The sequence below is a fragment of the Homo sapiens genome, chromosome 1 (assembly GCF_000001405.40).
Source record: "Homo sapiens chromosome 1, GRCh38.p14 Primary Assembly".
Lineage (NCBI taxonomy): Eukaryota > Metazoa > Chordata > Mammalia > Primates > Hominidae > Homo > Homo sapiens.
In genome coordinates this window covers 150639841-150655709 of record NC_000001.11, presented here as the reverse complement: position 1 = coordinate 150655709, position 15869 = coordinate 150639841, and the positions used below count along the sequence as shown (strand labels likewise).

The window sequence follows — 15869 nt, the reverse complement described above, 5'->3', positions numbered from 1 at the left end:
CTAATTGTTCATTAACGAAGTCCTTTAAAGCCTCTAGTTTCTCTTTACTTAGTGGCCATCGTTCTATCCAAATTGGCTTATCTGTTAACCATTTTAAAGGTATAGGCTCTGGAGGCTTAACAATGGCTGCCATCAAAAATGATATCCTAAACCTTGGCAGGAACTTTGTCTTTCCACTTGAAGTGGTTCCTTCAAACCTTGCAAATTTTTTCCTAGTCCCATACCAGGGACATGCCCCATTTCATGCATCATATGTTGATTTTGAGGGCTATATAATTGCTCTGGAATTAGAACTTGTGCTCCCCATTGTTGTAATAAATCTCTTCTCCATAAATTTATAGGTACATAAGTTATAACTGGTTGAATAGTCCCAGGTTGTCCATTGGGCCCTTCACAATGGAAAATGTAACTACTTTGATACACTTCAGGGTCCTTACCAACTCCAACTATGTTAAATTGGGCGGGTTGAATTGGCCACGCAGACGGCCAGTGCTGTAGAGAAATGATTGAAATGTCTGCTCCTATAGCTACCAAACCTTTAAATTTCTTTCCCTGAATAGTTATTTCACAGGTAGGACATTTATCAGTAATTTGATTCATCCAATAAGCAGCTTTGCCTTGTTTATTTGTGCTTCCAAATCCTCCTGTTCATTTAATTTCACTTTTCCCCATTTCCACATACGGTACAATCAGGAGCTGTGCTATACGCTCTCCTGGCTCTGCTTTCCAGGGAACAGAAGTAGATATAACAATTTGAATTTCCCCACTGTAATCTGAATCAAGGACTCCTGTATGTATTTGTACTCCTTTTAAACTTAAACTAGATCTCCTAGAAGTAATCTTATCGTTCCCGCTGGCAAGGGTCCACAGACTCCTGTTGGGACCTTTTGCGGGAGTTCCCCAGGCAGAAGGCTCACAGCTTTTGTGCAGCATAAATCTACTGCGGCACTACCTGCTATGGCGGGGGACAGATATTGTACAGGGATGAGGGAATGGCCTAAGCTGGAAATGCCCCGGTTTGGAACAGGCCCAGACGGGCCCCTCATGGCGTTTCCCAAATTTAAAAGGAAAAGGCTCAAATGTAGCCATAATATTTCCCTGTTGATCTGGAGGGTGTATCCTAACAGGGAACTGCTTGCTGATTATTTCTTCTGCTTCTTCAAATTTGTTTTTCGTTTTTTGTTTTTTTGTTTTTTTTTTTTAAACGGAATGTCTTGCTCTGCCTCCCAGGCTGGAGTGCAGTGGCACAATCTTGGCTCGCTGCAACCTCTGCCTCCTAGGTTCAAGCACTTCTCCCTGCCTCAGCCTCCCGAGTAGCAGGGATTACAGGCTCCCACCACCACACTAGCTAATTTTTGTATTTTCAGTAGAGATAGGGTTTCCCTATACTGGCCAGGCTGGTCTTGAACTCCTGACCTCAAGTGACTCACCCACCTTGGCCTCCCAAAGTGCTGGGATTACAGGAATGAGCCACCATGCCCAGCCCCCCTAGTATATTTTTTTATTTCAGTTATTATAAGTTTTAGCTCCAGAATTTCCTTTTGGTCCCTTTCTCTATCTCTTTATTGATATTATCATTTTGCTTCTACATTATTTTCCTGTCTTTATCCATTTTTTTAAATATTTGAGCATCTTTAAGACAGTTGTGGCTGGGTGCGGTGGCTCACACCTGTAATCCCAGCACTTTGGAAGGCCAAGGCAGGTGGATCACTGGAGGTCAGGAGTTCAACACCAGCCTGGCCAACATGGTGAAACCCCGTCTGTACTGAAAATACAAAAATTAGCTGGGCGTGGTGGTGGGCACCTGTAATCCCAGCTACTTGGGAGGCTGAGGCAGGAGAATCACCTGAACCTGGGAGGTGGAGGTTGCAGTGAGACAAGATTGTGCCGCTGCACTCCAGCCTGGGTGACAAGAGTGAAACTCCATCTCAAAAAAAAAAACAAAAGATAGTTGTAGTGGGTGTGGTGGCTCACACCTGTAATCCCAGTACTTTGGGACACTCAGGTGGGAAGATCACTTGAGTCCAGGAATTTGAGACTAGCCTGGTCAACAGTGAGACCTCATCTCTACAAAACATAAAATTAGCTGAACATGGTGGTACATGCCTATAGTCCCAGCTACTCAGGAGGCTGAGATGGGAGGATCAGTTGGGCTGGGGAGGTGGTGGCTGCAGTGAGCCAAGATCACACCACTCCATTCCAGCCTGGCAACAAAGCAAGACCCTGTCTCCAAAAAAAAAAAAAAAAAAAAAAAGTTGCTTTCAAGTCTTTCTCCAGTAAATCTAACATAGGAGGCTGAGGCAGGAGAATCACTTGAACCCGGCAGGCAGCGGTTGCAGTGAGCTGAGATCATGCCATTGCACTCCAGCCAGGGCGACAGTGTGAGACTCCGTCTCAAAAAAAAAAAAAAATAAAAAAAAAAAGATTTATACCAAGTTTAATTCCAAGGAAACTTTACTTCTATATAACTCTATTCCCTCTCCCTCTTTTTGTGTTAATATTGCTATATGTTTCTTTTCTTTTTTTTTTTTTTTGTTTTTTTGGCTTTTGGGTTTTTTGTTGTTGTTGTTTTTTGTTTTGTTTTGTTTTTTTAGACAAAGTTTCACTATGTTACCCAGACTGGTCTTAAACTGCTGGGCTCAAGCAATCTGCCCACCTTGGCATCCCAAAGTTCTGGGATTACAGGCATGGGCCCACCATGCCAATATTGTTACACGTATTACATCTCTATGTGTTACAAATTCAACAATTCATTGTTGTAATTATTAAAGAAGAGAAGAAAGCACAAATATATACTTATAGAGTTTGTTATATTAACCTCCTTATTTACCATTTCTGGTTTTCTTCATTTCTTCCTGTGGATTCAAGTTACCATCTGTTGTCATTTTCCTTACTTCAACACAACTTTTTTCCCACCCTCTTTCTTTGTGCTATTATTACATTTCTATGTGTTATAACCTTGCGCAAAAGTTTAAAAAGTTAAAAATTATAACTCAACAATAACAATTATATAAATATTGTTTTGTGCAATTGCTTTATAAATCAGTTGAGATGAAGTATCCAATTATACCATCTTTTTTATTACTTACATAATTACTTTTACTGTTTGTTCACGTGGATTCAAATTACTGTCTAGTGTGTCCTGCTCTCAGCCTTAACAACTTCCCTTTAGTTTTAGTATTAATATTTCTTATAAGCAGGTCTGCTAGCAGTGAACTCTTTCAGATCTAGGAATGTATTTATTTTTTCTCCTTTTTAGAAATTTTTCTTTGCCTTCATTTTTGTTTTGTTTTTTTTAGGGTTTTTTTTTTTTTTTTTTTTTTTTTTTTGAGACAGAGTCTCACTCTGTCACCCAGTCTGGAGTGCGGTGGCACGATCTCAGCTCAATGCAACCTCCACTTCCTGGGTTCAAGTGATTCTCCTGCCTCAGCCTCCTGAGTAGCTGGGACTACAAGTGCATGCCACCACACCTGCTTTGCTTTTATTTCTGAAAGATAGTTTGCCAGTTATAAGATTCTTGGCTAATAGTTTCTACCCTCACTTTGAATAAGTCTACTCATTCTTCTGGCCTGCATTTTTTCTAATGGGAAGTCAGTTATTAAGCTTACAAAGTTCCACTGTGATGTGATAAGTCATTTTTCTCTTCTGCTTTCATGATTTTCCACTTATTTTTGGTTTTCAACATTTTTACTATGATGTTGGATATGGGTCTCTTTGTGTTCATCCAACTTGGAGTTTGTTGAACTTCTCCAATGTGTGGTTGAGTGTTTTTCATCACGTTTGGCAAGATTTTAGCCATTACTTTCTTGAGTATTTTTTCTGCCTCTTTCTCTCCTTTCCTTCTGGTGCTTCCATTTTATGTATGTTCATCAAGTTGATGATACTTTATATTTCTCTGAGTCTGTTCATTTTTCTTCATTCTCTTTTCTCCTTGTTCTTCATATTACATAATTTCTTTGATCTCTAAGTTTGCTAATTCTTTATTTTGCCAGCTCAGATCTCTTGTTGGATCCCTTGAGTGATTTTTTCATTTTGTTTGTTGTACTTTTTTTTTTTTTTTTTTTTTTGAGTTTCGCTCTGTCGCTGAGGCTGGAGTGTAATGGTGTGATCTTGGCTCATTGCAACCTCCGCCTCCTGGGTTCAAGTGATTCTCCTGCCTCAGCCTCCTGAGTAGCTGGAACTACAGGCACACACCACCATACCCGGCTAATTTTGTATTTTTAGTAGAGACAGGGTTTCACCATATTGGCCAGGCTGGTCTCAAACTCCTGGCTTCAAGTAATCCGCCTGCCTCAGCCTCCCAAAGTGCTGGGATTACAGACGTGAGCCACCATGCCCAGTCTGTTGTACTTTTAAACTCTAGGATTTCTAAATGGTTTTTTTGTTTTTGTTTTTTTGAGATGGAGTCTTGCTTTGTTGCCCAGGCTGGAGTGCAGTGGCACTATCTCAGCTCATTGCAGCCTCCACCTCCCAGGTTCAAGCGATTCTCTGCCTCAGCCTCCTGAGCAGCTGGGATTACAGGTGCCCACCATACCTGGCTAATTTTTGTATTTTTAGTAGAGATGGCGTTTCGCCATGTTGGCCAGGCTTGTCTTGAACTCCTGGCCTCAAATGATCCACCCACCTCAGCCTCTCAAAATGCTGGGATTACAGGCGTGAGCCACCGCACCTGGTCTAAATGGATCTTTTTTATAATTTCTGTCTTTATTTATATTCTCTATATGATAAGTCATGGTTTCCCTTAGGTCTTTGAACATATTTATAAAAGCTGCTTTATAGTCTTTGTAAAGTCCAACATTTTAGCGTTCTCAAAGGCAGTTTCCATTGCCTGCTTTTTTTCTTCTGAATGGGTCAATGGGTCACAATTTATTCTTTGTATACTTCATACTTTTTTGTCAAAAACTGGACATTTTAGATAATTGTGCAACTCTGGATACTACACTGCAGCTGTCCCCAACTTTTCTGGCACCAGGACAGGTTTCGTGGAAGACAGTTTTTCCACTGGGGTGGGAGACGGGGGGATGGTTTCGGTATGATTCAAGTGCATTGCATTTATTAGAGTCTCACAAGGAACATGCAACCTAGATCCCTCCCATGTGCAGTTCACAATAGGGTTCACACTCCTGTGGGAACCTAATGCCACTGCTGATCTGATGGGAGGCAGAGCTCAACTTTACTCACCCATGGCTCACCTCCTGCTGTGCAGCCGGGTTCCTAACAGGCTGCAGACCAGTACCAGTCCATGGTCCAGGGGTTGGGGACACCTGCTATACTGGTTTCTCCTTCCCACTAGAGGTTGATTGTGTTGTTTGCTTGGTAATTTGTTTCCTTAGTGACTTGCCTGCAGCAGCTCTCTGAAGTCTGTTTCTCTTGTAGTGTGCAGCCTCTGATGTCACTGCTCATATTTTCTTGTTTTTATCTTTTGGCCTAACTCCCTGTGTGTTGCCAGTGGGTCAGTAGAAGCCACTTATTAGTCAAAGGTTGTGCTTAAGACCTTTTAGCCAATTAAATTTTTTTATCCTTTACTGTTGGATATGTGTGTGTGATTTTGACATAGCCATCACAAATCAGGGAGTTTACATTTTGCCCCACATTCAGTGAGGAACTAGCAGCTTGGAAGTTCCCTCTCTGATTTCTTCTCGGAGAGAGTACATCCTTGGACATACACCAGGGATGTATGTGATTTTTTTAATTTTATTTTTATTTTTTATTTTTCATTTCTTGAGATGAAGTCTCACTCTGTCACTCAGGCTGGAGTGCAGTGGTACAATCTCAGCTGACTGAAACCTCCGCCTCCTGGGTTTTCCTGCCTAAGCCTCCAAGTAGCTGGGACTACAGGCGTGTACCACCACACCCGGCTATTATTATTATTTTTAAGCTTAGCTTTCTAGGAGTTGCCTCTGAGTTAGGGTAGCTTATTGTTCAGCCAGTGTTGGTTCAGTGGTTGTGCTTTAGCCCTTGGTGCCAGTGAAGCATCCACCCTTTTTTGATAGATCTATGTGTGGTCTGGGGAATACTCTCAAGTCAAGCCCCACGTCCTGCTCTGATTGCTCCTGAGTGGGTGCAGCCTGGTGCAAGCACACAGTCTTCCCAACCCCCAGTGTTGGTCATGATTCCAGAAGGACTTTTCTTGGCTTTCTGTTTCTCTGGTTCTGCCTGTTAAACTTCTGGAGGCTTTGCCATTTGGGTTTGTCATACCAGTGCCATAGAGCTAGCAGCACCTTGTAATTGCTCTCCACCAAGATCTCTATGGTTTTCAACACCCTTAGGCATAGAATTCTCCACACTGTGTTCCAAATAAAGTCAGTCCTCTCAGGCAGAGCTTTGGAGCTCTTCATTCTTCAGGCCTTCCTTCCCTCCTGGGCAGAACTTCTGCACAAGGGCCCACTTCTCCTACAGTGATACCCACCTGCTGTATGAGTAGGTGCTGGGGGAAAGAGGTGTTAGCCCCTGGTCTTCTTGACTTGCCTTTTCTGTTGCAGAATCTCTAATCTACGAACAAGCTGGAATGGGAGCAATTGAAGTCTAAATATTGTCAGCCTACCAGGCCTGGGATAGAGCTTCTGCTCTACAAATAGGGTAGGGAACCTCAGTCCTCTTAGCTTCACCAGCAAATAGAACTTCCACAATATAGAGTAGAAATCATCTGGGAGAGACTGGTGTCCTAAATAGAATTTGAAAAATACATAAATAATTACAGTGTCACAGAGGTCACATAAGAACAGAAATAAAGTCTATAAGCTCTAGCAATATGGAAGTCCTTGGTGACATTTTTTGAAGCTGGTTTAATGTGAAATGTGGTTGGAGTCAAAGCCAGATTATAAAGGACTAAGGATTAAATGAATTGAGGAATGAAGATTATGCTTTTAAACATTTTAGCCATTCAAGTTTCCAAACAACTACATGTTTCATTTTGCTTTTCTCTTTCAGTTCATTATGTCCTATTTCTTTTTTCTCATAGGTGAGACCTGGAACCCCTTCAAATTACAGTACCAGCTGAGAAATGTACGAGAGCGCATCGCAAAGAACCTAGTAGAGAAAGGTATTCTAACCACTGAGAAGCAGAATTTCCTGCTATTTGACATGACTACTCATCCAGTGACCAATACAACAGAGAAACAGCGACTAGTGAAAAAACTTCAAGATAGTGTACTAGAGCGGTGGGTAAATGACCCTCAGCGTATGGACAAGCGAACACTAGCACTCCTGGTGCTAGCCCACTCCTCTGATGTGCTAGAGAATGTCTTCTCCTCTCTGACAGATGACAAGTATGATGTGGCAATGAATCGAGCCAAGGACTTAGTAGAACTGGACCCTGAAGTGGAAGGGACAAAGCCTAGTGCCACAGAAATGATCTGGGCTGTGCTGGCAGCCTTCAATAAATCTTAAAGCCGGCAGGTGGATTTCTCCTTTTCCCCTGCTGGCTGGTGACTGTCAGAGACCCCATCACTGAGTTTTGTGTGATGAGATGTTTTCATCATTTTTGTTTCCTTTTCTTGAATCAGACTTGTGATTTGGGGAGAGCAACTTCAGGGCTTCTCCATAGACCTTGACCATTATAAGCAGACCTTATTTCTCCCTACACTTCCACTCCATAGGTAAATAAACTGGGTGAAGCCACACACACCCAATGAACATTTTCTCCCATTTGGTGGTTTAGTTTCACCCAGTGTGCTTTTGGATAAGCAGAAATATCTAAATGGGATTTTGAGTTCTCCAGCTATAGAATGTGAATGAGATAAAAAGTGAACTATCTATTATATTTTTCTGAGTTTGTTTTCTATCATAAATACATGTTTTCACAGCCTTTGTCTCTCAGACTCTGCTAAATAATGTAGCTTATTGAAATAACTGTCGCTGAATAAGGAGCAATGAGAAACAAAACTAATTTTTGGAGCAGATGGTCTCTGGAATTGCATATCCTGCTAGTGATTTTCTCATCTTTCCTTTTCTAACCTAATGAGAATGTCCCAGATTCAATTACCTGGATGTCAAAGTCCTAGAGCCAGAAATATATTCTCTCATCCCTCTTAGCATTCTCTTGCTCCCTCATTCACTAGGGCAAATGTCTAAATGAAGAAAAGTCTCTCTCAACACCTCGTTCATGCAATCAGCATTAGAATTTGTAAGGAAGGAAGGGGGGTGGCATGAAAATTTCCATTCTTGGGGTATATGACTGTCCTGTTTCCCCCAGGCCACTTTTTTTTTTTTTTTCTTTTGAGACAGGGTCTTGCTCTTGCCCAGGCAGGAGTACAGTAGTGCAATCACAGCTGACTGCAGCCTTGACCTCCAGGGCTCAAGGATCCTCCTGCCTCAGTCTCCCAACTAAGTGGGACTACAGGCACGTGCCACCATACTCAGCTTTTTTTTGTTTGTTTTAGACAAGAGTCTCGCTTTGTTGCCCAGGCTGGTCTTGAATTCCTGGGCTCAAGCAATTCTTCCACCTCAGCCTCCCAAAGTGCTGAGATTACTGGCTTGAGCCACTGCACCCACCCCTCCAGACTACTTTAAATGTCTCTGCTCTGACTGAATTGAAGGAATTGTAAGTTTCAGTTGCTGAATATATCAGTATATCTGAACTCCAGATCTTTTTATTTCCTATTTTTGGCTTCCTACATAAATTAATAAAGTCTGTCTATATTTAAGGTTTCTGGGAGTAGTTTTGTCTATATTTAATCCATAGATGTGCTCCTAGTCATCAGTCTTATTTCAGTAAAACCATCTTTCTGGCCAAATCTCTAACACGTTTTTTACTTCAGTAGTGAGGGCAATGAGAAGCTTTATTAAGAAAGATCCTATTTAAAGGGCTAATTTGGTATTGAAAGCATGCTGATATAAAGTCCAGTATTTGAGGATATAAAGAGGATGTGCACTGAGCTGTGCTGATGTTCAGCATTTATTATACTTTAATGGGATAGTGCTTCTTGACCATTATAGAACAACAAACTGTCAAAGGGTTAATACAGATGACCCAGACCTGACATTAAATCCTCTTGATTAGAAATAATTAAATGAATTATTTATTCATTTCTCTCCTCTGCCAAATCTACTTAGCCCCACAAAAATGCCCCAGCTCAGTTAACATTTTTTTGTTTTTCACTTTAGGTATCTCTTAGGCAAATAGAGATATAAATTGTAATAGGAAACAGTCTCTAAATGTGAGGCTGAATACAGCTTCAGTCTGGCTCTCTAATAGGACAAAAGCCAGTCCATGTGTTGTCTCTAACTGATTTAGCTTTTTCTTTTCTTTGAACAATTCGGCATGAATTGAAACCAGGTTTTCCTGTGGAAAGTTATAGCTTGATTGGGAGATAGAAGTTGAATTGAGTTCTTTCTTGCAACTCTTAGTGTTTATTTTTATATCTCAGTAAGACGAGGATACCTTCAGTTTGAATCTGCATAATGTTCACTGCCAAACTCCTTCTCATTTAATGCTTATGGCCTTCACATTTCTGTATAATAAAGATCAATTATCAGCTCTCTGGTCTCTCTGTGCACAATTTTATAATTTAAATTGTTTTAATTGGAACTAAGGACTTTCTACACAAGGCTATTAATGCCTCCCCCTTTACACTAGCATACCAGCTTGTTTTATCCTATGTAGAAAATGAGGGATACAAAAACAATTGTAACATACATAGGCTGAGGGGCAGGACATGTCAAAAGCTGACCACATGAACACCAGCTAATACTATAAAGCCTAAATAGTGTCTCCATCTCAATCAAAATAAATTAGCCAATTATACCATTATTACCATGAAGAGAATGAATATGATCTGTTCTACTAATATCTACTTGCAAATGACACCTGAATTTAGGAGTTGAAAATCTTAAGTTCCAAATGTAGGTGACATGCCTGACTATAACAGAGTTAACATGTAAAAATGTAAGTGTGCTTATAATTGGCTTATTGTTCTCCCTTTCTTTATCTATAGCACAAGGGACAATAATACATTTGTTTATTAGGATTGTTTATACTTTTCTAATATTTTTATTTAAGACAAAGTACTATTTCCATAAGTCATGCTTTATACAATGTTTCTCAAAGTATATTGCAAAGACCATTGCACCAAAATGTGTGTGTGAGATAGGAGGGTAGCTTGCTAAAATGCAGATCCTAGTAAATCAGTCTCTGGAGTTAGGAGGAAGCTGCATTTTAAAGAAATTCTCAGCCAGGCGCGATGGCTCATGCCTGTAATCCCAGCACTTTGGGAGGCCGAGGCGGGCGGATCATCTGAGGTCAGGAGTTCAAGACCAGCCTGGCCAACATGGTGAAACCCCATCTCTACTAAAAATACAAAATTAGCTGGCCATAGTGGCGCACTCCTGTAATCCCAGCTACTCAGGAGGCTGAGGCAGGAGAATTGCTTGAATCTGGGAGGCGGAGGTTGCAGTGAGCCAAGATTGCGCCTCTACACTCCAGCCTGGGCGATAGAGCGAGACTCCGTCTCAAAAAAAAAGAAACTCTAAAAGCTTGCATGTTAAAATTGGAGAACGCCACCCTATATCTTATTGTCTATAATTCATTCATCAAAAAAATATTGAGTACTTACAAATTGATGGGCACTTGCTAGGCACTGACAATAAAACATTGCATAGGGCACCATTCTAGCTCCCAAGAATGCACATTTATGTGGGCAAATAATATAATTTGTGACAAATGCTCAAATAGAAGTATAAACATAATATTTGGAAGCACAAATAAATAGTATTCTCCCTGGGAATGTTAGGGAAGACTTTGAGGTGTTGTATTTATTATGGTTATCATATATTGAGCACTTTTGTTGTGAGGTAGGTACTATGCTAACTGCTTTGTATCTTGTCTCATTTATTACAACACTAAAAAAAAAAAAAAACTCTACAGTGTTCTTTTAAAGAAAACTCCGGTGGCTGGGTGTGGTGGCTCATGCCTGTATTCCCAGCACTTTGGGAGGCCAAGGCGGCTGGATCACCTGAGGTCAAGAGTTCGAGACCAGCCTGGCCAACATGGTGAAATCCCATCTCTATTAAAAATACAAAAATTAGCCCGGCATGGTGGCACATGCCTGTAGTCCCAGCTACTCGGGAGGCTGAAGCAGGAGAATCGCTGGAACCCGGGAGGTGGAGGCTGTAGTGAGTCAAGATCGTGTCACTGTACTCCAGCCTGGGTGACAGAGCAAGACTGTGTCTCAAAAAAAAAAAAAAGAAAACTCAGGTAATGAGGCTTGCCTGAGGACCTAGTGCAGAGCTTCAGTTCAAACACCTACTTTTTAATCACTACCCTTTCTTGCCTTCATTTGAACTAAATCTCAAAGGATCGGCTGGGCCACGGTGGCTTATGCCTGTAGTCCCAGCACTTTAGGAGGCCAAGGTGGGAGGATCACTGGAGTCCAGGAATTCAAGACCAGCCTGGGCCATAGCAAGACCTTGTCTCTATTTTTAAAAAAATGTTTAAAAAGTCTCAAAGGATCTTTTCAGGCTAAGAGGGAAGAGCCAAGGCTACCCTATGCAGAGGAAATAATATGTACAAGATAATTGGTGATGTGCTAGAATTTCATGAATGCATGTCGTTTTCACATATTTCCAGAAAAAAAAAATTTTTTTTTTGAGATGGAGTTTCACTCTTGTTGCCCAGGCTGGATCTCAGCTCACTGCAACCTCCGCCTCCTAGGTTCAAGTGATTCTCCTGCCTCAGCCTCTTTAGTAGCTGGGATTACAGGCACCCACCACCACGCCTGGCTAATTTCTTATATTTTTAGTAGAGATGGGGTTTCACCATGTTGGCCAGACTAGTCTCAAACTCCTGACCTCAGGTGATCCACCCGCCTCAGCCTCCCAAAGTGCTGGGATTACAGGCATGAGCCACTGCGCTCAGCCCAGAAAATAAGAGAATATATTCAAGTTGTAAACTAAACAAAGGATTTTGAAACTGGCAGCTCTTTTTTTAGAGATGGGGTCTCACTTTGTTGCCAAGGCTGGAGTGCAGTGGCTATTCACAGGCGCTATCATAGCCCAATAATGCCTCAAACTCCTGGCCTCAAGGGATCCTCCCGCCTCAGCCTCTCCAGTAGTTGGGATTACAGGCACATGCACCAGGACAAGCTAAATTGTTTTTGTTGTTTGTTTACCTTTCCTTATTCCTTTCCCATTGCTTTTCTTTATATAGAACTGAGTTTCCAGCCAGGCACAGTGGCTCACACCTGTAATCCTAGCACTTTGGGAGCCCGAACAGGCAGATTGCCTAAGGTCAGGGGTTCGAGACCAGCCTGGCCAACCTGGCGAAACACCATCTCTACTAAAAATACAAAAATTAGATGGGTGTGGTGGCGGTCACCTATAATCCCAGCTACTGGGGAGGCTGAGGCAGGAAAATGGCTTGAACCTGGGGGGCAGAGGTTGCAGTGAGCCGAGATTGTGCCACTTAATTCCAGCCTGGGTGAAAGAACAAAACTAAAAAAAAAAAAAGAAGAACTGAGTTTCCTACTTATCATTTTCCCTCTCTCAATAACATTTCTTACAGAGCAAGTCAGCTGGATGTGAATTCCCTCAGTTTTTGTCTAAGAAAGTCTTTATTTATCCTTCATTTTGGAAGGATAATTTAACTGGAAATAGAATTCTATGTTGGGCTGGGTACAATAGCTCACCTGTAATCCCAGCACTTTGGGAGGCCGAGGCAGGAGGATCACTTGAGGCCAGGAGTTTATGACCAGCCTGGGCAACATAGCCAGAGCCCCAGTTCTACAACAACAACAACAGAAATAATTCTAGGTTGGTGGGTTGTTTTTGTCTTTCAACACTTTATATATTCCACTGTCTTACATGTATGCATGCATGCTTTCTGACATTAAATTACAACAAAACTGAAATTTAATTTAGATTCTAACAGATAAAATTTGTTCTTCCTTTTTGCCACACAGCTAAAATGCCCATAAGTGTATATTCATATGGTTTCTTAAAATGTGTTTTACTCTCCCTAAAGAATAAAAATAATCACTTTAATGCTGAAATGTTAGGTAACACTGCTTTTTTGATATTTTTCTATTATCTGTTACATGTGTGTATGTACTCTTTGTTTCTGTGTCTGCAATTATTCTCAAAGCCTTGGTCTGTCTTATTTTTCTGCTGAGTTCCAAGTTGTCTAGGTAATTTGGAAAGAGACAAACCAAACATGCTTTTTTTGTTGTTTTGTAGAGGCAGGGGGGTCTCCCTGTGTTGCCCAGCCTGGTCTCAAACTCCTGGGCTCAAGGGATCCTCCTGTCTCAGCCTCCCAAAGTGCTAGGATTATAGGCATGAGCCACCGTGCTCAGCTGAAAAGTGACTTTTTATTGATAATTGAGGGAGCCATCTCTCCCAGAAAGCAGTAAAATTTTATCGAATGCAAGTCAAAGCGAGAGTCACTTCCTGGCAGAAATCTCCGTTTTCTAGCAGCCCAGCTCACTTACCGTGTCAGTTTTCCTTTGCATTCCAAATTGTAAAAAAGTAAATTGAACCAGAGGGGAAAAACTAAATATTCTCTAAGAGCTCTTTTGTGTAGAATTTTTTCCCAGAATATAAATAATCTGGCTACCGCTTTGTTTTTCTTAATCTAATTCAACCTCCCAAAGTATGATAGTAGATTTAACTGAATTTCCTTCAGAAGCTTACCTGGGAATCTAGGGCCTTCTACTCCTTCAGAAGGGCTTCTTGACTGAATCCATGTTTCTGCCACAAGAAAAAAATCAGTCCAATAAATGTACATCATTTTCCTGATTTAATGAGAAAAATTTTAATCCTAAGTTTTTCTTGTATTTCAGAGATACTGAAATGTTTCCTCCTTATCTGAAAGTGAGACTTCTTCAAAGATTTATGGATATTTAAACCCATAAAATACCTCAAAATATTTGTAGGTTAGCCTTAATAATAATAATAATAATTCTTTTCCCCCTCGTTGTATCACCTCACTTTCATGCTCGTGCGTGTGAAGAGACCACCAAACAGGCTTTGTGTGAGCAACATGGCTGTTTATTTCACCTGGGTGCAGGCGGGCTGAGTCCAAAAAGAGAGTCAGCGAAGGAAGATAAGGGTGCGGCTGTTTTATAGGATTTGGGTAGATAAAGGAAAATTACAGTCAAAGGGGTGTTGTTCTCTGGCGGACAGAGTGGGGGTCACAGGGTGCTCAGTAGGGGAGCTTTTTGAGACAGGATGAGCCAGGAAAAGGAATTTCACAAGACAATGTCATCAGTTAAGGCAGGAACAGGCCATTTTCACTTCTTTTGTGGTGGAATGTCATCAGTTAAGGCAGGAACCGGCCATCTGGATGTGTATGTGCAGGTCACAGGGGATATGATGGCTTAGCTTGGGCTCAGAGGCCTGACACACCTTTTCTTGAACCTCCAAGTAGAGGCCAAAAAAGTCTTGAATAAGTTAGATTAAACTGATTTATATTAATCCAAAGTAGATATTTTTTCTTTTGGGAAGTAGGGAAGAAATGGGTCGAATTGAGGAGGGGAAGGCTGGAGAAGGGTGAAGAAAACAGAATAGCCAAATGGATTCTCAGGAACATTATGAATATTTAAAAGGGTGAACATTCAGTCTGAGAAAGCTGATTGAAGAAAATACTGAACAAATTTTCTTTTTGTCTTTGAGACAGAGTCTCTCTCTGTCACCCAGGCTGGAGTGCAGTGACACCATCTTGGCTCACTGCAACATCCACCTCCCGGGTTCCAGTCATTCTCCTGCCATGTTGGCCAGGCTGGAGGCTTCAAGTGATCCACCCGCCTGGGCCTCCCAAAATACTGGGATTACAGGCGTGAGCCACACCGTCTGGCCAAAAAATACTCTTTAAATGCTCAAAAAGTAATAAAAGACTTTTTTTTTTTTTTTTTTTAAGATGGAGTCTCACTCAGTCGCCCAGGCTGGAGGGCAATGGCATGATCTCGACTCTGCAACCTCCGCCTCCCAGGTTCAAGTGATTCTCCTGCCTCAGCCTCCTGAGTAGCTGGGATTACAGGCCTGCCCCACCACACCCAGCTAATTTTTTTTTTTTCCCTGAGACGGAATTTTGCTCTTGTTGCCCAGGCAGGAGTGCAATGGCGTGATCTCGGGTCACCGCAACCTCCGCCTCCCGGGTTCAAGCAATTCTCCTGCCTCAGCCTCCCAAGTAGCTGGTTTCATGTGCGTCCGTGTGAAGAGGCCACCAAACAGGCTTTGTGTGAGCAACATGGGTATTTATTTCACCTGGGTGCCGAAAAGAGAGTCAGCGAAGGGAGATGGATTATCATTAATTCTTATAGGTTTTGGGATAGGCGGTGAAGTTGAGAGCAATGTTTTGCGGGCAGGGGTGGATCTCACAAAGTACATTCTCAAGGGTGGGGAGAATTACAAAGAACTTTCTTAAGGGTGGGGGAGATTACAAAGTACATTGATCAGTTAGGGTGGGACAGGAACAAATCAATGGTGGAATGTCATCAGTTAAGGCTATTTTTACTTCTTTTGTGGATCTTCAGTTACTTCAGGCCATCTGGGTGTATACGTGCAAGTCACAGGGGATGCGATGGCTTGGTTTGGGCTCAGAGGCCTGACAGCTGGGATTACAGGCATATGCCACCATGCCTGGCTAATTTTTTTTGTATTTTTAGTAGAGACGGGGTTTCTCCATGTTGGTAAGGCTGGTCTTGAACTCCTGACCTCAGGTGATCCGCCCACATCAGCCTCCCAAAGTGCTGGGATTACAGGCATGAGCCACTGCGCCCAGCCTAATTTTTTTTGTTTTTTGTTTGTTTGTTTTGTTTTTTGTTTTTTGTTTTTGAGACGGAGTCTCACTCTGTCACCCAGGCTGGAGTGCAGTGGCGCCATCTCAGCTCACTGCAAGCTCCGCCTCCTGGGTTCACGCCATTCTCCTGCCTCAGCCT

At 41.9% G+C, this 15869-nt stretch overlaps 1 protein-coding gene across 4 annotated transcripts in view, besides 2 other annotated features; it reads left to right on the top strand.

The window, feature by feature from the left end:
* GOLPH3L (golgi phosphoprotein 3 like) overlaps positions 1-9480 on the top strand; it is a 50925-nt gene extending 41445 nt beyond the window's left edge. For 3 of the 4 annotated variants that reach the window (NM_018178.6, XM_047424285.1, XM_006711428.3), the window contains one exon: positions 6962-9480. In NM_018178.6, coding sequence (NP_060648.2) covers positions 6962-7389 — 428 coding nt within the window. In that variant the 3' untranslated portion in view covers positions 7390-9480. Of the gene's footprint in view, positions 1-6482; positions 6579-6961 lie in introns of those variants that run through there. The other variant, XM_047424286.1, reaches the window with a different exon arrangement.
* Positions 8344-8845: an enhancer, noted in NCBI's record as "H3K27ac hESC enhancer chr1:150619341-150619842 (GRCh37/hg19 assembly coordinates)". NCBI's record gives its function as "activates a minimal SCP1, AML or CMV promoter by ChIP-STARR-seq in primed H9 embryonic stem cells {active_cell/tissue: H9 hESC(primed)}" and the evidence as "EXISTENCE:reporter gene assay evidence [ECO:0000049][PMID:30033119]".
* Positions 13978-14593: an enhancer, noted in NCBI's record as "OCT4-NANOG-H3K27ac-H3K4me1 hESC enhancer chr1:150613593-150614208 (GRCh37/hg19 assembly coordinates)". NCBI's record gives its function as "activates a minimal SCP1, AML or CMV promoter by ChIP-STARR-seq in primed H9 embryonic stem cells {active_cell/tissue: H9 hESC(primed)}" and the evidence as "EXISTENCE:reporter gene assay evidence [ECO:0000049][PMID:30033119]".